The following is a 20817-nucleotide window of genomic DNA, read 5'->3' as shown; positions in this document are numbered from 1 at the left end:
TGTAATCAAAGCACTTTGGGAGGCCAATGTGGGTGGATCATGAGGTCTGGAGTTCGAGTTCAGCCTGACCAACATGGTGAAACCCCGTCTCTACTAAAAATACAAAAATTAGCTGGGTGTGGTGGTGCGCACCTGTAATCCCAGCTAGTTAGGAGTCTGAGGCAGGAGAATTGCTTGAACCTGGGAGGCAGAGGTTGCAGTGAGCCAAGATCGTGCCATTGCACTCCAGCCTAGGAAACAAGAGTGAAACTCCATCTCAGGAAAAAAAAAAAAAGAGGAGAAAGGAGAACACACAACACAGGGAAGGTGGGCCTGTGAGGACAGAGGCGGAGAGTGGAGTGAGAGCCAAGAGCTCCTGGAGCCACCAGAAGCTAGAAGAGTCAAGGGGGAGCCCAGCCCTGCCAACACCTTCACTGCGGACTTCTGGCCTCCAGAACTGTGGGATAACACATTTGTGTTGTTGTAAGGTGCCTGGTCTGTGGTCATTTGTTACGCAGCCCAGGGAGCTAACAGGACCTCTAAGGATGTGACCCATTATTGAGTCTTGACCCCGGACACTGTCACACGCAGCACTGCTTAATCCTCCCAAGAGCCCTCGGTGGTAGGTGCTGTTTTTCTGTTTGTTTTTTGTTTTTGTTTTTTTGAGACCGAGTCTTGCTTTGTTGCCCAGGCGGGAGTGCAGTGGTGCAATCTTGGCTCATTGCAACCTCCACCTCCCAGACTCAAGTGATCCTCCTGCCTCAGCCTTCTGAGCAGCTGGAACTACAGGTGTGCACCACCGTGCCCGGATAATTTTTGTATTTTGTAGCGACAGGGTTTCATCACGTTAGCCAGGCTGGTCTCAAACTCCTGACCTCAGGTGATCTACCTGCCTCGGCCCCCCAAAGTGCTGGGATTACAGGCATAAACCACCGTGCCCGGCTGGTAGGTACTGTTATTATCCCCATTTTACAGGTGAGGAAACCGTGGCTCAGCAAAGAGGACAGCAGGGCTTTGAGCTTCGTGTCTAGCCCACGTTCCCGACTACTGCAAGATTGTGTAGGCTGATGTTGTGGAGCCAGCACACCCTTTAGGGAAGCTCGGAACTTTGTTTATTACAGTTAGGCACACCCCTCCTCAGCCTTGTGTCCCTGCTGCAGCCACTCTCTGTCTCCACCTGCTGTGATGGGCACTGCTGACTGTGGTCCCTGCTCTAGCTGCTGCCACCTCCGGGTGGCCACGGGGATCTGGACCCACTGGGCCTCCCATGGCTGCTTCTGGGTGTGTGGGCCTGGACATTTCCAGGGCTCTGCTCTCCCTGTCTGCATGCCCCCATGGCCACGCCCACCTTGAGGAGGGCAGTGCACATGGCCCCTGCCTGCCAACGAGGCCTCTTTGGGGCGGTGCGGGGGTGGGGGGACCTGGGAAGGTCCTTGGGAACCTGGGTCATCGGGCCGACTGTCCCAAGGGGTGCTCTGTCCCAGCTCTCAGCTCTCAGGGCAGCCCCTCTGATCACCAGCCCTCTAGGGGACCTCCAGATTCCACGTCTCCCCAGTAATCCCATTCCCCGAATGTGTAAGAAACCCAGGAGCTGGAGCAGCACTTGCAGCTGGCGTGGGAATTCCCCTTAGAACACACACTGGATTTGTTTGGAAGAAACAGGTTAATAAGCCCCATGGGGTAGGGGCTGGGGACCCACACGCATTCTCAAGTTCCAAAGGACGCTGCCACCCTGCTTTCTAGGGAGGGTGGATGCTGTTACAGGGCCTCTGTCTGGAAGAGGTTGGGTTTGGGCAGGGGCTGCGGTAGAGCCCAGTTGTTCTGCAGGAGTGAGGGGCGAGGAGTGGAAGTTCCTGGGAAATGGGGGTATTGGAGGTGAGCAGTGAGGCCAGCAGTGCTGGGAAGGGGGAAGGTCAGGCCTCCCCGGGTGGAGCAGCTGGGACTTGGGGAGAACAGAAACGCCAAGGGGATTTTCAAGTTGTTTGTGTTGAGGTCCCCAAGGTAAATGCCTTGCCTCCTCCTCCACAACATCAAAAATCCCACCTTGCTTGCTCAAGCTTTTGTGTGAGCGCTGGCTTGGGGGCGACTGCAGGACCTGGGTGCTGTTTTCCCCTACGTGTTGGCTTGGAGCAGGCAGAGACTGCCCTTGAGGACGCAGAGAGCAGGGACAGTGGAGGGCTGAGTTACAAAATGGTGCTGGGAGGATTGCTAAGTATTTGGAAAACACTGGGTTAGCCCTTCACTTTCACTGCCAGATGGCTCAGAGAGGTAAATGCAAGGAGGGAGGGAGGGAGGGAGGGAGGGAGAGAGAGAGAGAGAGAGAGAGAGAGAGACAAGCAAACTAAAAAAATAAAATACATGATCTGGGGAAGAAAAAGTACTTTTTTTTCTTTTTTTTTTTTTCTTTTTTTGAGATGGAGTCTCACTCTGTAGCCCAGGCTGGAGTGCAGTGGTGCAATCTCGGCCCACTGCAAGTTCTGCCTTCCAGGCTCAAGTGATTCTCCTGCCTCAGCCTCCTGAATAGCTGGGATTACAGGCATGCACCACCATGCTGGCTAATTTTTGTATTTTTAGTAGAGATGAAGTTTCACCATATTGGCCAGGCTGGTCTCGAACTCCTGACCTCAAGTGATCCTCCCGCCTTGGCCTCCCAAAGTGCTGCGATTATAGGCATGAGCCAGTGCACCTAGCCAGTAAAGTAATTTCAAAGGGGAAAACAGACATAGGTAAAAAAAAAAAAAAAAAAAAAAAAAAACTCTAAAATTTTTAAGAACAAACCACAAACTGGAAAAAAATATTTGTACAAATACCATGACGGGTTGACATCAACACAATATAAAGACCCCAAACAGATTAATAAGGCATCATTAGATAACCAGTAACAGAATATGCAAAAGACAAAAACAGACTATTCCCCAAAGAAATCCAGATAGCTAATAAACCTGCAAAAATGTTTAAACGTATCAGTAGTCAAATAAATATAAGACACAAAAACAAGATCCTTCAGGTAGTAGGATTCCAAGTGACTGAATAAAATTGTTTTCCTTGGGCTAGCTGCATTTTCTAGTTTTCCTACAGTAAAGGTCTCTTGCTTTAAGAGACTGTCCTGAAAGTGAAAAGTGTACAATGCGAGACAAATAGCAACAAATGGGCAGCCAGTGTCAGAGACAGAATTCTAGTCATGGTAGAATTGTGGGCAAGTTTTTTCTTTTGAGCTTTTGAACATGTTTAAATTCATACAATTCATTTGCCCTTTCAGTATTACTTAATTATTAGGACACATTTGCAAGTTAAAATAAATTCCTTCTTCCCAAGTCCCCAGGAGGCTTTGACCCCTTATGCAAATAGGATTCCTGGGGCCACCCAAACACCCATAGAGTGGGGAAGCAAATTGAACTGAGAGACCATCCCTCCCACTCATCTCTAAAACAAAGGGTGCTTCAGCCCTCTCCATACCACATACACACCCTCTCCCACCGCCCCAGCCCTCCAGTCAACTTTTCTAGCCTCCAGCCCTGTAAACCAAAAATAAAATTCTAAGACTCCCCAACTGACTGAATGGTCCCCTCCTCTCAGCCAAGGGGATTCCAAAGTAAACCTGAAAAACTAGTTCAGGCCATGATGGGAAGCGGGGGTGTCGGCCATGCTCATCACACTCTCCTCCCTTCGCAGTTCAGGCACAACTGTCCAGCATTAACATTAAAACAGAGATCTTAAGACTGATCAAGCAGACTCTTTGTAGCAATAAATACCAAATTCCAAACTGACTCTAGTACAGCATCACATGACAGTAGGCCCTGAAAGAAATGAAAGTATTTTACTCCCAAATATATTTCTTTGAGATATTTTGAAACGGCCCCGCAAAGCTTCCTCTTGTGGGGGAAATTTATGATCCATAGAGAAGCCCTGTCCTTTCCAGATCTTTTTCTTATCCTGAAGTGATTAGCTGAGAGTCCAGCTCCTTTTAAAGATCTGAATAGGAGTGGCAGGGTGTGGTGTCTCACGCCTATAATCCCGGCACTTTGGGAGGCCGAGGCGGGCGGATCACCTGAGGTCAGGAGTTTGGGACCAGCCTGGCCAACGTGACAAAATCCCATCTCTGCTAAAAATACAAAAATTAGCCAGGCTTGGTGGTGGGTGCCTGTAATCCCAGCTACTTGGGAGGCTGAGGCAGGAGAATTGCTTGAACCTGGGAGGCAGAGGTTGCAGTGAGGCAAGATCATGCCACTGCACTCCAGCCTGGGCCACAAGAGCGAGAGTCCATCTCAAAAAAAAAAAAGATCTGAATAGGAAACGTGCCATTTTTTTTTGCCTCTAAGGGCAGTCACCTATGAGACTTCATCTACATAATAAGAACCTTGGTCTACACAACCCCTTATCTTAACCCACACACTCCTTTCCACTGGTTCTAGGTCTTTAGATAATAACAACTCTTGGCCGGGTGTGGTGGCTCACAACTGTAATCCCAGCACTTTGGGAGGCGGAGGCAGGTGGATCACCTGATGTCAGGAGTTCAAGACCAGCCTTACCAATATGGTGAAACCTTGTCTCTACTAAAAATACGAAAATGAACCAGGTGTGGTGGTGCATACCTGTAATCCCAGCTATTCGAGAGGCTGAGGCAGGAGAATCACTTGAACCCGGGAGTCAGAGTTTGCAGTGAGCCGAGATCACGCCACTGCACTCCAGCCGGGCAAGAGAGTGAGACTCCGTCTCAAAAACAAACAAACAAAAAAAACCAACTCTTTCAGACAGTTGTCAATCAGAAAATCTCTGAATCGACCTATGACCTGGAAGCCCCCCAGCTTTGAGGTTTCCTGCCTTTCTGGACCAAACTGATATACACCTCACATGAATTGATTGATATCTGCCTGTAACTTCTGTCCTCCTAAAATGTATAAAATCAAGCTGTAACCCAACCATCTTGGGCACATGTTCTCAGGACCTCTTGAGACTGTAACTCAGGCTCAGAATAAACATCTTTTTTTTTTTTTTTGAGACGGAGTCTTGCTCTGTTGCCCAGGCTGGAGTGCAGCGGCGCGATCTTGGCTCACTGCAAGCTCCGCCTCCCGGGTTCAAGCCATTCTCCCGCCTCAGCCTCCCGAGTAGCTGGGACTACAGGCACCCGCCACCATGCCCGGCTAATTTTTTGTATTTTTAGTAGAGATGGGGTTTCACCGTGTTAGCCAGGATGGTCTTGATCTCCTGACCTCATGATCCACCCACCTCTGCCTCCCAAAGTGCTGGGATTACAGGCGTGAGCCACCGCGCCCGGCCAGAATAAATATCTTTAAATATTTTACAGAGTTTGACTTTTTTTTTTTCAGTGACAATCCCAGGTTAGCCTGCCCGAGAGCTCCGGGAGGTGGGTCATCCCAGGGCCCCCAGAGGCCTGGAGGGTGGCCATGCATTGGCCTAAGGGGGCCCAGGTGCAGACCAGCCTGGAGAGGCTGGAAGTCAAACTATGATGTGTCCACATGGTGGAGCGCCCCTCCATCCCTCATTCCCTTATGAGTCCTGTGAATCCTTTAAACACTGGATAGAATCACAGAGATTAAAGACGGAGTGTGCCTGCAAAAACCTGTATCATTCTATTTGAGAGACAAGTCACTCTCCTGTTTTCATGCGCGTCCGTGTGAAGAGACCACCAAACAGGCTTTGTGTGAGCGATAACAGCTTTTAATCACCTGGGTGCAGGCGGGCTGAGTCCGAAAAGAGAGTCATCGAAGGGAGATAGGGGTGGGGCCGTTTTATAGGATTTGGGTAGGTACAGGAAAATTACAGTCAAAGGGGGGTTGTTCTCTGGCGGGCAGGGTGGGGGTCACAAGGTACTCAGTGGGGGAGCTTTTGAGCCAGGATGAGCCAGGAGAAGGAATTTCACAAGACAATGTCATCAGTTAAGGCACAAACCGGCCTTCTGGATGTGTATGTGCAGGTCACATGGGATATGATGGCTTAGCTTGGGCTCAGAGGCCTGACACCTGTCATCACAACACAGCCCATGGTCAAATGGATGTTCCCAGAAGCATGTGGATCCCCAGGAGCTGGGATGTTGTCAAGACCTACAGGCAAGTCCAGCAGAGGCCAAACCATGGGGTTGTGTTGGGGGTGCCAGGCTCTGTCCTGAGGCTCTCCAGCTCTCTCCCAGGCCCAGGAGAGATTGGCTAGTCATCTGCGTCCCGGGGGTAGAGCCCAAGCCATCCTTACTCCTCCTTCTTGTAGCTCTCAGTCCTCTGCAGGGAGCCAGCTCTCCTCCCCTGGGGCACCCAAGGGCTCTGCCTCCAGGCCGGCACCTGCAGATGGTCCATGGCTCTCAGGGCACACCTCACGGCTGCTTCCTCCAATCCTCCCTGCACCTGCCCTCACCAGGGCCCTGGTCCCCACAATGCAGAGCAGGTGGAGAGAGGGGTTCTTCCACCTTAGCCAGCTTTCCTTGGGGCTGCTAGCTAAGGGAGAGTTACTCTGAGCCTCAGCGCTAAACCTGTGGTTTTTAGCCTCTTTGAGTCAGGAGGGAATGATTTGGGGAAGCCCCCTCCACGGAAAAATGTGCTAGCATGGACTCTCTGAGCTCACCTCTAAGAACTGGATGATCTGTGTTTATTTGCATTGCAGGAACCTGCAGAACCCTGGAGCCCACCCTCTGTGTGGCTTGTAGGCAAACAGGGCTATGGACAGGTGTGGGGAGGATGGAGTGGGGTGCCAGCCAGGCGGAGCAGCACCAAGACAGACAGAGGTGGGACCCTGGGGGGAAGCTGCAGGAACACACTCCCTAAATCCTGGAAGGCTAACTCTGGAAGGAGGAGCAGGAGGTCTTACTTCCTCCTGGAGGCCCTGGGAGTAGTGAAGGGTTCTGGGCAGGAGAGCAGCATGCAGGAAGGGGGCTGTGGGAGGAAGTCTCCAGGAGGGCCCTGTGGGAGCCTGCCTACCGTGCTGCCACCAGGTGAGCATTGCTTTTTTGCAAATGTTTCCCAGAAAGACAGGCCTTGTCTTCCAGGACAAAACAGGAAGGGCAGGGTCAGGAAGTCAAGTCACATTTAGAAGGAATAGAGCAATAGGCCCCACCTGGTGCAAACCGAAAGGTGTTGGTGGGGGCTGGTCAGCAGAGTTTAGGAAATGAGGACTTGGCAGCCAGCACTGTTAGGCGGAGAGGGTGTTCTCCCCAGCAAGTCCCCTGGAGGGGATGGACCCTCAGCTTGCAGACACCAGCCTGGGGGCGGGGCCCTCACCCCCAGCGCTGTGTCCACACTCAGCGGCTACCTTGGTTGTTCTTTAGCTTCTGCAGTGGATTGAACTGTGCCCCTCAATAGACATGTGTGCCTGGACCCTGTGAATGTGACCTTATTTGGAATAGGGGTCTTTGCAGATGTAATAAGTTAAGGATCTTGAGATGACATCATCTTGGATTTAGGGTGGGCCCTAAACCCAATGACTGGACTCCTGATGAGAGAAAGGGGATTGAGAATGAGATCCAGGCTGGGCACGGTGGCTTGCGCCTGTAATCCCAGCACTTTGGGAGGGTGAGGCGGGTGGATCACTTGAGTCCAGGAGTTCAAGATCAGCCTGGGCAACAAAGTGAGACCCCGTTCCTACAAAAAATTAAAAAATTAGCTGGGTATGGTAGTGAGCGCCGTGCTTGTAGTCCCAGCTACTCTGGAGGCTGAGGCAGGAGAATGGCGCGAACCCGGGAGGTGGAGCTTGCAGTGAGCCGAGATCACGCCACTGCACTCCAGCCTGGGCAACAGAGCGAGACTCCATCTCAAAAAAAAAAAAAAAAAAGAGAGAAAAGATCTAATGTTCAAATACATTTGAGAAACACTGTGTGAAACTAGAAATTTCTTTGCTGAGGAACTTCTCTGAGCCTTTAAGAGGCTAAAGAGCTTTGTGAATCACCAGGGGAGTGGGGGAAGGCCAGTACTGCACACAGCTTTTCCCAGACTTATTTAACCCGGGAACCCTTATGTATTATTCAGCTTGGGCTACCATAACAAAAACCACAGACAGGGTGGCTTAAACAACACAAATTTATATTCTCACAGTTCTGGAAGCTGGAAGTCCAAGATCAAGGTGCCAGCAGGGTTGGTTCTGGTGAGGCCTCTCCTGGCTTGCAGACGACTTCCTTCTCCCTGTGGCCTCACATGTGGCCTTTTTTTCTGAGCACGTGCACTCCTGATGTCTCTTCTTATGAGGACACCAGTCCTACTGAATTAAGGTCTCACCCTTATGACTTCATTTAACCTTAATTACCTCCTTAAAGGTCCTATCTCTAAATACAGTCGCATTGAGGGTTAAGGCTTCAATATATAAATTTGGAGGTGGGGACAAATTGTAGCCCATAGCATCTTACTTCATGGGACTGGTGTCCCCAGATACATCTGGGAAAATGCACATTTAATCACCTTGAACTCTATCCCAGGAGTATGGGATTACTGTTAGTTGGCAAGTGCCTGCCATCCATTCCTGCCTATTTGTAAGGATATCCTTGGTGGTAGAAACAGAGGAGACAGCATGTGGAAGACATACTTTTATCATCTATTTTTTTTGAGACAGGGTCTTGCTCTGTTGCCCAGGCTGGAATGCAGTGGCACCATCTTGTCTCACTGCAAACTCCACCTCCCAGGCTCAAGTGATCCTCCCCCCTCAGCCTCCCAAGTAGCTGGGACTACAGTCATGAGCCACAGTACCTGGCTAATTTTTAAATTTTTCTGTAGAGATCAGGTCTCACTATGTTGCCCAGGCTGGTCTCAGACTCCAAGCTCAAGTGATCCTCCCGTCTTGGCCTCCCAACTTGCTGGGATTATAAGGGTGAGCTGCAGCAACCCGGCCAGATACTTTTTTATAGTCCACGACATTTTGCAGCTCCTTTTTCAAAAGATAGAGTCTATTTTCTCCACTACCTGAATCAGGGCTTGGCCTTATGAGTTGCTTTTGTCAAGGGGACAGTAAGGAGCATGACACAAGCAGAGGCATAGAAAGCATTTGTGTTCATCCCTGAGAGGTCTGAGAATAAAAATAATAGGAAAAGCATTTGTGTGCTGGGGCTTGGCCTCTCTTTCTTCTTTTGGAGCCCAGCTGCCGTGTGAAGTCTGGTCTGCTTGATGAGGAGATTAACCTGGCTCTGGTTGCCCCCACCATCCCAGCCAAATGCAGACATGTGAGTGAGGCCATCTGGGACCCAGACCAACCAGCTGCAGCCCACCTGCCAGCTATGGCCACATAGTGAACCAGGTGAGACCAGCAGAAAAACTGAGGAGGAGGTAGGAGTTGACTCTGGAAGCAGGGCTCAAACACCTGACCAAATTGAGGACTAGCTAAAACAGGTTGGGGGCAGAAGCAGCTTTCCATAAGACCCTCCCACCAGCGTGCCCATGTTAGTTTACCATTGCCATGGCAACATCTGGAATTTACCATCCCTTTCCATGGCAACAAGCCAACAACCCAGAAGTTACCACCCTCATCCTAGAAATTTCTGCATAAACTTTGTTTGTTTGTTTGTTTTGAGATGCAATCTTGCTCTGTCGCCAGGCTGGAGTGCAGTGGTGTAATCTTGGCTCATTGCAACCTCTGCCTCCTGGGTTCAAGTGATTCTCCCACCTCAGCCTCCCAAGTAGCTAGGACTACAGGCGCACACCACCATGCCCAGCTAATTTTTGTATTTTTAGTAGAGATGGGGTTTCACCATGTTGGACAGGATGATGTTGATCTCTTGACCTCGTGATCTGCCCACCTCGGCCTCCCAAAGTGCTGGGATTACAGGCGTGAGCCACCATGCCCAGCCAACTGTTTTTTAATTTGCATGTAATTAAAAGTGGGTATAAATATGAGTGCAGAACAGCCTCTGAGCTGTTATTCTGGGCACCCTGTCTATGGGGCAGCCCCACTCCACTAGGAGCAGTACCTCTGCTGCTGCTGTGCACGGCTGTGTCAATAGAAGTTGCTGTTTAACACCACTGGCTTACCTTTGAATTGTTTCCTGGGCAAAGCCAAGAACCCTCTCAGGCTAAGCCCCAGTTTTTTTTTTTTTTTTTTTTTTTTTGAGACAGAGTCTTGCTCTGTCACCCAGGCTGGAGTGCAGTGGCGCCATCTTGGCTCACTGCAAGCTCTGCCTCCTGGGTTTACGCCATTCTCCTGCCTCAGCCTCCCAAGTAGCTGGGACTACAGGTGCCTGCCACCATGCCTGGCTAATTTTTTGTATTTTTAGTAGAGATGGGGTTTCACCGTGTTAGACAGGATGGTCTCGATCTCCTGACCTCGTGATCCGCCCGCCTCGGCCTCCCAAAGTGCTGGGATCACAGGCATGAGCCACCATGCCTGGCCCTAAGCCCCAATTTTGGGGCTTGCCTATCCTGCATCAGAAACACTCAGCTGAGCCCAACCCAAATATAATAATAATAATAACAATAATAATAATAATAGTAGTTGCTTTTTTTTTGAGACAGAGTCTCACTCTATCACCCAGGCTGGAGTGCAGTGGTACAACCTCAGCTCACTGCAACCTCTGCTTCCTGGGTTCAAGCGATTCTCCTGCCTCAGCCTCCCCAGTAGCTTGGATTACAGGCACCCACCACCACACTTGTCTAATTGTCTAATTTTTGTATTTTTAGTGGAGACAGTTTTCACCCTGTTGGCCAGGCTGGTCTTGAACTCCTGACCTCAAGTGATCTGCCGGCCTTGGACTCCCAAAATGCAGGGATTACAGGCGTGAGCCACAGCCCAGCCGTTGCTTTAAGTTACTCAGTTGTGAGGTGGTTTGTTACATAGTAAGGGCCAACTGATACCAAGCATCTTAGAAGAGACCTGTGACTATCATTGCTTTCTTTTTTTTCTTTTGAGATGGAGTCTTGCTCTATCACCCAGGCTGGAGTGCAGTGGTACGATCTTGGCTCACTGCAACCTCCGTCTCCCAGGTTCAAGTGATTCTCGTGCCTCAGCCTCCCTGAGTAGCTGGGATTACAGGCACCTGCTGCCATGCCTGGCTAATTTTTGTATTTTTAGTACAGATGGGATTTCGCCATGTTGGCCAGGCTGCTTTCGAACTTCTGACCTCAGGTGATCCTCCCACCTGGGCCTCCCAAAGTGCTGGGATTACAGGTGTGAGCCACCGCACCCAGCCGACTATCACTGCTTTCTATGAATGGTTTTCTCTGGCTGCTCCCATCTGCACCAAGTTAACCTTTTCAGTATTATAAAGAAACATTCTTGGATGGGCGTGGTGGCTCACACCTATAATCCCAGCACTTTGGGAGGCTGAGGCAGGCAGATCACCCGACATCGGGAGTTCGAGACCAGCCTGGACAACGTGGTGAAACCCCATCTCTACTGAAAATACAAAAATTAGCTGGGTGTGGTAGCATGCACTTGTAGTCCCAGCTACTCGGGAGGCTGAGGCAGGAGAATCTCTTGAACCGGGGAGGCGAAGGTTGCAGTGAGCCAAGATCGTGTCATTGCCCTCCAGCCTAGGAAACGAGCAAAACTACGTCTCCAAAAAAAAAAGAAAGAAACATTCGTCGTTGCCACCAGTCTTGCTATTAAAGTTTCCTAGCATTTTAAAGACATCAGCATAATGAGTATCAGGTGAAAAGTCTTAAAATTAATACCCCACAAAAATAGGATGTGAGCTTTATTAGGCCAACTCCTGAAATTACCCATATGGATTGTCTCAGAGGAAATTCAAAACATGTTTTAAATTATGGAATGTGTTTAACATGTAAAAACTGGTCTTGCTTGAATACTCTTGAATATCCCACTGGAAGGAGCTGGTGGAACACTCAGGTTTTACTTGCAAAAAATTTTCCTGAAAGAAATGGCATCATCTTCTGAAAACCAAACTGATAAGACTGTCTTGGTAGGGTTGGGCAGGGGCAAGAGAGTGGGGGTGGGTGGGAGGAGCCCTGGATATGGGGAGAAACCCAGATGTCCTCCCCAGCCAGATCCAGCTCTCTGCTGCCTCCAAGTGCTGGTTCGATGGCATCTCAGGAGAGCGCAGCCTGTGATTCTATGGGATGGCTGATCCCTCAGACTTGAGTCTGAACCCCAGACCCCAAGTGGCAAGGTGAATAGGAGGTCTGTGCTCTGTACCTCACTCCCACCCTTACCCCAAAAGCTGCCCATTCACTGTCATGCCACAAGGTGTCCGGTGACAGGAGATCAGGAATCATTAGCAACCACTGCCTCTTCCAGAGCAATTTAATTTTGGGGTCCGGTTAGCATTGTATTCAATACACAGAAGGTCATCCAAACCCCCCACTAAGTGTGAGTTCCATCTGCAGTAATTATATAACAGTTGAATTGCACTGAAATTGAACTTTTTGTTTTTGTTTTGTTTTGGTGGTCAAATACACATAAAACGTACCATTTTAAAGTGCAGAATTCAGTGGTATTAAGACCATTCACAATATTGTGCGACCATCACCACTACTTAGTCCCAGAGCTTTTTCATCACCGGATGGCAACCCATACCCATTAAGCAGCCACTGTATTTGACTTTTGACATAAGGTTACAATTCCTAGACACTTAAACATCTATTAACTTTGAAATGGCATTTTAATTTTTATATTTGGAGTCAATTAATTTTTTTTTATATGGAGATTCACTCTTGTTGCCCAGGCTGGAGTGCAGTGGTTCGATATCAGCTCATTGCAACCTCCACCTCCTGGGTTCAGTGATTCTCCCGCCTCAGCCTCCCGAGCAGCTGAGATTACAAGCACATGCCACCACATCCTGCTAATTTTTGTATTTTTAGTAGAGATGGGGTTTCACCATGTTGGCCAGGCTGGCCTTGAACTCCTGACCTCAGGTGATCCACCTGCCTCGGCCTCCCAAAGTGCTGGGATTACAGGTGTGAGCCACTGCACCCGGCCAAGAGTCAATTAATTTTTTAAAAGTCACACACATTTTCACAGGACCTTCAAAGCTGTAGGCTTAGGTCTATGCCTGGAGGGTCTGGGTCGGAGGAGGCCAGAAGAGCCCCTCTCTACTCCCACCTCCCCATCCCACCATGGGCTTCTGGGACTTGGGCCCTACTGTCTTCCCCACAGTAGCCCTGCCTCCCTACATCACACTGCCATTGGCCAGTGATTCTTCTCAATATCCCCATGCAGTATAATGATTTTTCCAAAATATGAAAGTATTACATGGCATTATAGATAAGCTGGAACGTGTAGATGAGCATAAAGGGGAATAGCCACCCTCCCCAATTCTACCCCCTTGAGAGAACCACTGTTAACATGTGGGCATGCTTTTCCCTCAATCCCTTTTTCTAGAGAAAATCGCCACTCAATTCTGGGCTTTCTGCATTTTATTTTTTAAAAAGTGCCCAAGTGCCGGGCATGGTGGCTCACGCCTGTAATCCCAGCAATTTTGCAGGCTGAGTTGGGCGGATCATCTGAGGTCAGGAGTTCGAGACCAGCCTGGCCAACATGGTGAAACCCCATCGCTACTAAAAATACAAAAATTAACTGAGTGTGGTGGTGTGTGCCTGTAATCTCAGCCACTCAGGAGGCTGAGGCAGGAGAAATGGGCAGCAGAGTGAGACTCCATCTAAAAAAAAAAAAAAAAAGCCAAAAGTAACCATTCAAATGACCATACTTCAGCCAATATATATACAAGTCATATTTGCATTTACAATATTGAGATCCTGATGTACTTTCACTTTTAAACTTTGCTTTTGTTCACTTATGAAAATGATATTTTGAGCAATTTTTATCTTTAAACAATTTTAATAGCTGTATAAACTTAAATATAAATTTAATACAGTTTAAGATATAACTTTAATAGCTGCAGGCTGGGCACAGTGGATCATGCCCGTAATCTCAACACTTTGGGAGGCCAAGGCAGGTGAATCACCTGAGGTCAAGAGTTCGAGACCAGCCTGGCCAACATGGTGAAACCCTGTCTCTACTGAAAATACAAAAATTAGCCGGGCGTGGTGGTGGGTGCCTGTAATCCCGGCTACTCGGGAGGCTAAGGCAGGAGAATCGCTTGAACCCAGGAGGCGGAGGTTGTAGTGACTCAAGATCGCGCCATTGCACTCCAGCCTGGGCAACAAGAGCAAGACTCTGTCTCAAAAAAATAAAAATATGTAATCCCAGCACTTTGGGAGGCCGAGGTGGGTAGATCACGAGGTTAGGAGATTGAGACCATCCTGGCTAACATGGTGAAACCCCGTCTCTACTAAAAACACAAAAAATTAGCCGGGTGTGGTGGCTCGCGCCTGTAATCCCAGCTACTCAAGAGGCTGAGGCAGGAGAATCCCTGGAACCCGGGAGGTGGAAGTTTCAGCGAACTGAGATGGCACCACTGCACTCCAGCCTGGGCAACAGAAAGAGACCCCATCTCAAAAAATAAAAATAAAATTAAAATATAAAAAATAAAAATAAAAATAAAAAAATAAAAAAAATTACTAGCTACATTCTCATCATATAGGCACATCATACTTTATTTAACCAATTTATCATAGGATGTTTTTTAGTCAGTTTTCACAGGGTTAAGCTGTGATAACAAACCATCCCAACATCTCAGTGGCTCACAATGATAAAGGCTTATTTCTTGCCTGTTTTTCATTTTTTAAATTTTATTTATTTTTTCAAGACAGAGTCTCACTCTGTCACCCAGGCTGGAGTGCAGTGGCGTGATTTCGCCTCACTGGAACCTCTGCCTCCTGGGTTCAAGTGATCCTCCTGCCTCAGCCTCCCAAGTAGCTGGGATTACAGGTGCCCGCTGCCACACCCGGCTCATTTTTGTATTTTTATTTTATTTATTTATTTATTTATTTTTTTATTTTTTGGAGATGGAGTCTCGCTCTGTCACTCAGGCTGGAGTGCAGAGGCATGAACTCGGCTCACTGCAAACTCCGCCTTCCAGGTTCAAGCAATTCTCCTACCTCAGCCTCCCAAGTAGCTGGGATTACAGATGTGTGCCACCATGCCCGGCTAATTTTTGTATTTCACTTGAGACGGTGTTTCACCATGTTGGCCAGGCTGGTCTCGAACTCCTGACCTCAGGTGATCCGCCTGCTTCAGCCTCCCAAAGTGCTGGGATTATAGGCGTGAGCCACTGTGCCTGGCCCATTATTATTATTATTATTATTATTATTATTATTATTATTATTATTTTTACAGTCCAGAGGTCTGTTATTTTTTTTAACACCTATTATGCCATGAATTCATAAGGAAGAGGTTCCAGCAGCTCAGGGTCCTTCCCACTGGTTCTCACAAAGTGAGCAGGCTGGCGCTTCGGTTGAACCCAGGTATCTTTCTCTGGCTTCTTTCTTTTTCTGATAATTTTCATTCATGTGTTTCAGGAAGCTATCTCGGCTCTTAGAGTGCTTAACGTGCTCAATACGCACATTAATTGTCTTGGCAAGAATGTTGCCCTGAACTTGTTTGTTTACAATGCCAACAGCATGCTGGGGAACACTGTAGACTCTTCCAGTTTTGCCATGGTGACACTTGTGGGGCATTCCTTTTTGAACAGTACCGTTCCCTTGGTGTCCACAATATCACCTTTCTTATAGATTCGCATATACATGGCCAAAGGAACAACTCCAGGTTTTCTAAAAGGCCTGGAGAACCTATATCGGGTACCTCTCCTCTTTCCCTTTGTGTTCGTAATTTTGGCGAATTACAGGAAGATGGCTACAGGAAGATGGCGGTTCTGGCCAAAAGGAGTCATTTTTGTATTTTTAGTAGAGATGGGGTTTCTCCATGTTGGCCAGGCTGGTCTCAAACTCCTGGCCTCAGGTGATCTGCCTGCCTTGGCTTCCCAAAGTGCTGGGATTACAGGCGTGAGCCCCCGCTCCAGGCCTGTTTTCTTTCTTTCTTCTTCTTTTTTTTTTTTTTTTGAGACGGAGTTTTGCTCTTATTGCCCAGGCTGGAGTGCAATGGCACTCTCTCGGCTCATCGCAACCTTCACTTCCCAGGTTCAAATGATTCTCCTGCCTCAGCCTCCCGGGTAGCTGGGGCATGTGCCACCATACCTGGCTAATTTTTGTATTTTTAGTAGAGACGGGGTTTCTCCATGTTGGTCAGGCTGGTCTCGAACTCTCAACCTCAGGTGATCCGCCCGCCTCGGCCTCCCAAAGTGCTGGGATTACAGGTGTGAGCCACCGCGCCCAGCCTGTTTTTCATTTCTTTTGTAGGCTAGTTGTGGCTGGGCTCTTCTTGGCTGTGTGTCAGGTGTGGTTGTAATTCTTCTTCATTCTAGACTGCAAGCCAAAGCAACAGCCCCCATGTGGGATACAGTCTTGTGGCCAAGGACAAGAGCAAGTGAGCAATGGCACTCAGTTTCTGCTCTGAAGGGGCACGGCTCATGTCCACACATGTGCCCTTGGCAAAGGCCATCATGGGATCAGTGGGGCTGGATGAATACTCCTTCCCCATAAGAGAGAAGGTGGACTCAGCTTTCAGGAAGGGGGAGTGAATGATTGGGAACAATAATACAATCTTCCACAGATGTTTCCATGTTTAAACGATCAGGGAAGAGCTGTTGATTTCTCATTTTCAATGTCATTAGAGCATATATATACTTTTTTTTTTCAGACAGGGTCTCCCTCTGTTGCCAGGCTAGATGGTGTGCGGTGGCACAATCTCAGCTCACCGCAACTTCTGCCTCCCAGGCTTAAGCGACCCTTCTGCTTCAGTCTCCCAAGAAGTTGAGACTACAGGCATGCACCACCATGCCCAGCTAATTTTTGTATTTTTTTTTTTTAGTAAAGTTAGGGTTTCACCATGTTGGCTAGGCTGGTCTCAAACTCCTGGGCTCGAGATCCGCCTGCCTCAGCCTCTCAAAGTGTTGGGATTATAGGCATGAGCCACTGTGCCCCGCCACATCTTATATAATTTTATGTATTTATTTATTATGTATTTATTTATCTTTACTTTTCTTTCTTTTTCTTGTTTTTTTTTTTTTTGAGACGGAGTCTTGCTCTGTCGCCCAGGCTGGAGTGCAGTGGCGCGATCTCAGCTTACTGCAAGCTTCGCCTCCTAGGTTCAAGCAATTCTCCTGCCTCAGCCTCCCATGTAGCTGGGAATACAGGCGCTGGCTGCCACACGCGGCTAATTTTTTTTTGTATTTTTAGTAGAGACAGGGTTTCACCATGTTGGTCAGGCTAGTCTCAAACTCCCAACCTCAGGTGATCCTCCCGCCTCAGCCTCCCAGAGTGTTGGGATTACAGGCGTGAGCCACCGTGCCCGGCTCAGGTAATGTTTTTTAAAGCCAAATAATTCTATAGGGCTTATTAAAAAAACAAAAACAAACAAAAAACCCAGCAGCTTCCTCCACCCAAATTACCACACCTCAACCAGTTGATAAGGAATTTTTTTCAGTCTTACTGTGTGCCAGGAATTGTGCTAATTTTCCCAAGTATATCACTTAATCTTTACACCTACCCCAGGAGGTAAATTATGAAATTTGGCTGAAGAAGCAACTTCTTACCATCAGGGGGCAGACTTGGGACAGGAACCCAGGACGCTGACTCCAGATGCAGAGAGCAAAACTTGAGCCTCAGCAGTTCTCAAGGCATGGTCCTAACCTAGCAGTAGAGTGTCGCTGGAGACTTCCTAGGCATGCGTGTTCTTGGGCCTGCCGCTGCCTGGCTGACTTGGGAACTCGGGCTGGGCCCAGCTGTCTGAGTTGCAATCAGCAGTGAGGAGACTCTGGGAGACACCAACGATTGACCACTGGGCTCTCCTTGACAGCCGGCTTTCCTTCCTGCCCAGGAAGGCACCCTGAGCCCCTTCCGTTTCCCCCTTTCCCTGACTTCAGTGACAGCCCCATCTGCCTGCTGGACGCAGATGAGAGCCACTGGAGATGCTGCCCTGCCCCTCCCAGCTTCAGGGACTACTCCAACTGCCCCAGCGCCTGTCTGCAGCATGGCCTCAGGGTGCTTGTGTGAGGGCCAGAGCCCCTCCCTCACAGTGAGTGGGGGTTCCTGGTCCGCAGTTGGGGTCTGTGTATTGGAGAATCCGGCGTCGGGCGGAGGTGGAATGTGATTCCGAGGGGAAGGTCTCAAGTCATGGGCGCTTCTGGACTAGAACGGGGAAAGCCTAGGGTGAGAGAGTTAGGAAAGGGGTCCCAGGCCAGGAGAGGAAGGAGCACCCACGGTCAGGTGGGAAACCCTCGGGACTGTCCTCCTGAGGGGTTTTTCTGAACAGACTGTGTGTGCCTCAATGGAGTGTCTTGGAAACAGCAGGAGAGGTGCCCACTCTCCTCCCTGCCTGAAGCCTGGTGGCCCCTCTGCCCTGGGACACTTGCTCTGGACTTTGAAGTTGGCTGGGCCCTCTTGGGTCTGTGTTCCCGGGAGACCATGAAGGACCTGGCCTGCTGGGTGGTCTAAGACCCGTTAAGACACAGGCCCAGGGCCTGGGGAATCCACCCAGCAACTGGGTTTGGAGCCGGGCCCTTCAGGGGCTTGCCGAGGAGGAGCAAAACCAGGACACCAGAGCCTGGGCTGATGGTCGAATTCATCCGGTCTAGATATCAGCTGTTTCAGATCGAGTCACTTCATTTGGTAACTGTACCCATTTCATTTGGTTCTCTCATGGGCATTCATTTAAAACATCACTTTCAGCCGGTTGCAGTGGCGCACACCTGTAATCCCAGCACTTTGGGAGGCCGAGGTGGGCGGATCACTTGAGGTCAGGAGTTTGAGACCAGCCTGGCCAAAATGGTGAAACCCTGTCTCTACTAAAATATGAAAAATTAGCTGGGCATGGTGGCACGTGCCTGTAATCCCAGCTACTCGGGAGGCTGAGGGAGGAGAATTGCTTGAACCCAGGAGGCAGAGATTGCAGTGACCCGAGATCGCACCGCTGCACTCCAGCCTGGAAGACAGAGCGAGACTCGGTCTCAAAAAAACAAAAACAAAAACAAAAAACAACATCACTTTTGAGCCAGACCTCTGGACCCTTGACCTTCCATGACCCCCTGGCCTGACCAAGCAGTGCCCCTGGTGTGTCTCTCATCTCTACCTCCAGCTAAGCTGGGTATTTATATTTTCCATCTAGGAAACAAGTGGAATAAATACCAAGCCTATGAATGTTAGAAATTTCCAAATTAAGTTCATTGCTGAGCTTTAGAGGGCTTACTTTTGGCCCCCAATTTCCACTCTTGGTGGGTTTAATCTCAGCCCTTGAGGGCTCTCTCCTTCCAGGTCATTCCCGTGCTGAGGCCAGGGTGGGTGGGCAGCAGGTCCCCAGTCAGTAACCCACACCATGGCTGCAAGATTCTCTTTGGCTGTTTTTTTTTTTGTTTTTTGTTTTTTGTTTTTTGTTTTTGAGACAGAGTTTCACTCTTGGTGCCCGGGCTGGAGCGCAATGGCATGATCTTGGCTCACTGCAACCTCTGCCTCCAGGGTTCAAGTGATTCTCCTGCCTCAGCCTCCTGAGTAGCTGGGATTACAGGCGTGTGTCACCACGCCTGGCTAATTTTTGTATTATTATTATTTTTTGAGACAGAGTTTTGCTCTTTGTTGCCCAGTCTAGAGTGCAGTGGTGCAATCTCAGCTCACTGCAACCTCTGCCTCCCGGGTTCAAGCAATTCTCCTGTCTCAGCCTCCCGAGTAGCTGGGATTACAGGCGCCCACCACCATACCTGGCTAATTTTTGTATTTTCAGTAGAGACAGGGTTTCACCATGTTGGCCAGGCTGGTCTCAAACTCCTGACCTCATGATCCACCTGCCTCGGCCTCCCAAAGTATTGGGATTATAGGCGTGAGCCACGACACCCAGCCTTTTATTTATTTATTTATTTATTTTGAGACAGTATCTCACTCTGTTACCCAGGCTGGCAGGCTGGAGTACAGTGGCAGATCTCTGCTCACAGAAGCCTTGACCTCCCAGACTCAAGCAATTCTCCCACCTTACCCTCCCAAGTAGCTGGGACTACAGGTGCACAACACCATGCTCAGCTAATTTTTGTACTTTCTGTAGGTTTTGCTGTGTTGCCCAGGCTAGTCTTGAACTCCTGACCTCAAGTGAGCGGCCTACCTCATCCTCCCAGAGTGTTGGGATTGGAGGCATGAGCCACTGTGCCCAGCCTCTCTTTGTCTTTCTGCCAGATTCTTGAAGGTCAGCTGCTCCCCACAGCTTGGGGCTGCCCTTGGGCCTCAGGACTTCTTTGACGTGGCCCTGGGTCCTCTTCCTGGATGTCTCAGGGCAACAGCATCCCTCTCTTCGTCTCGCCTCATGTCCAGGAGCAGGACCCAGGAAACAGGCCCCCTGCCCTCCTACTCTCGCTGCTCCTTACCTCCCCCCTGCCCATCTTTCCCTCCTGTCCTCTAACTGGGGGGAGAGGACCAGAGGACCTTGTCCCCTGCTTCCAGTCAGACACTCTGCCCTTCTTTCCTTCTACTTGCTCAGTAAACCCTCCAAGTTCTCCTGAGACCTTCAGCTTTAAGAAAACAAAAGCCAGAAGGACCTTCAGGGAGGAAGAGGCCCTGCAGAGTGGGTGGCCTGGGGTGGCGTGGGAGGGCAGAGGCGGAGACAGCTGGGAGGCTGAATCAACAGGACTTACTGTCTGTGGATGGTGAGGAGAGGAAGACGTCAAAGCCGAGCCAGAGAGTCCAGGAGGTCCAAACTGGAGACGTGAAGAAGCTGTCCTCTTCATGGGGAAAGTGAAAGCTGCGGCCTCGCCTGTGGGCGTGTCCAGAGGACCATGGAAAGGACAGTGGTGGGAAGAAGCAGGGCCAGGGGAAGAGCTGAGCCTGGATGCTGGGCCTGGAGGGAGGGCAGGGGCAGCCTTGGTAAGGACCACCCTGCGGAGTGAGAAGGGAGCCTGCAGAGGGAGGGCAGAGGGCCAGGCCTCGCATGAAGACTGCTTTATTTAGGGGATGGAGGCAGAGG

At 49.6% G+C, this 20817-nt stretch overlaps 1 pseudogene, besides 1 other annotated feature; it reads right to left on the bottom strand.

The window, feature by feature from the left end:
• RPL21P35 (ribosomal protein L21 pseudogene 35) lies at positions 15095-15644 on the bottom strand (annotated as a pseudogene).
• Positions 19833-19892: an enhancer, noted in NCBI's record as "active region_17292". NCBI's record gives its function as "activates an Ori minimal core promoter by ATAC-STARR-seq in GM12878 lymphoblastoid cells {active_cell/tissue: GM12878}" and the evidence as "EXISTENCE:reporter gene assay evidence [ECO:0000049][PMID:35858748]".

Source organism: Homo sapiens, chromosome 2, assembly GCF_000001405.40.
Source record: "Homo sapiens chromosome 2, GRCh38.p14 Primary Assembly".
Classification (NCBI taxonomy): domain Eukaryota; kingdom Metazoa; phylum Chordata; class Mammalia; order Primates; family Hominidae; genus Homo; species Homo sapiens.
The sequence above is the reverse complement of the archived record's forward strand: the minus strand, read 5'-3'. Positions and strand labels throughout refer to the sequence as shown.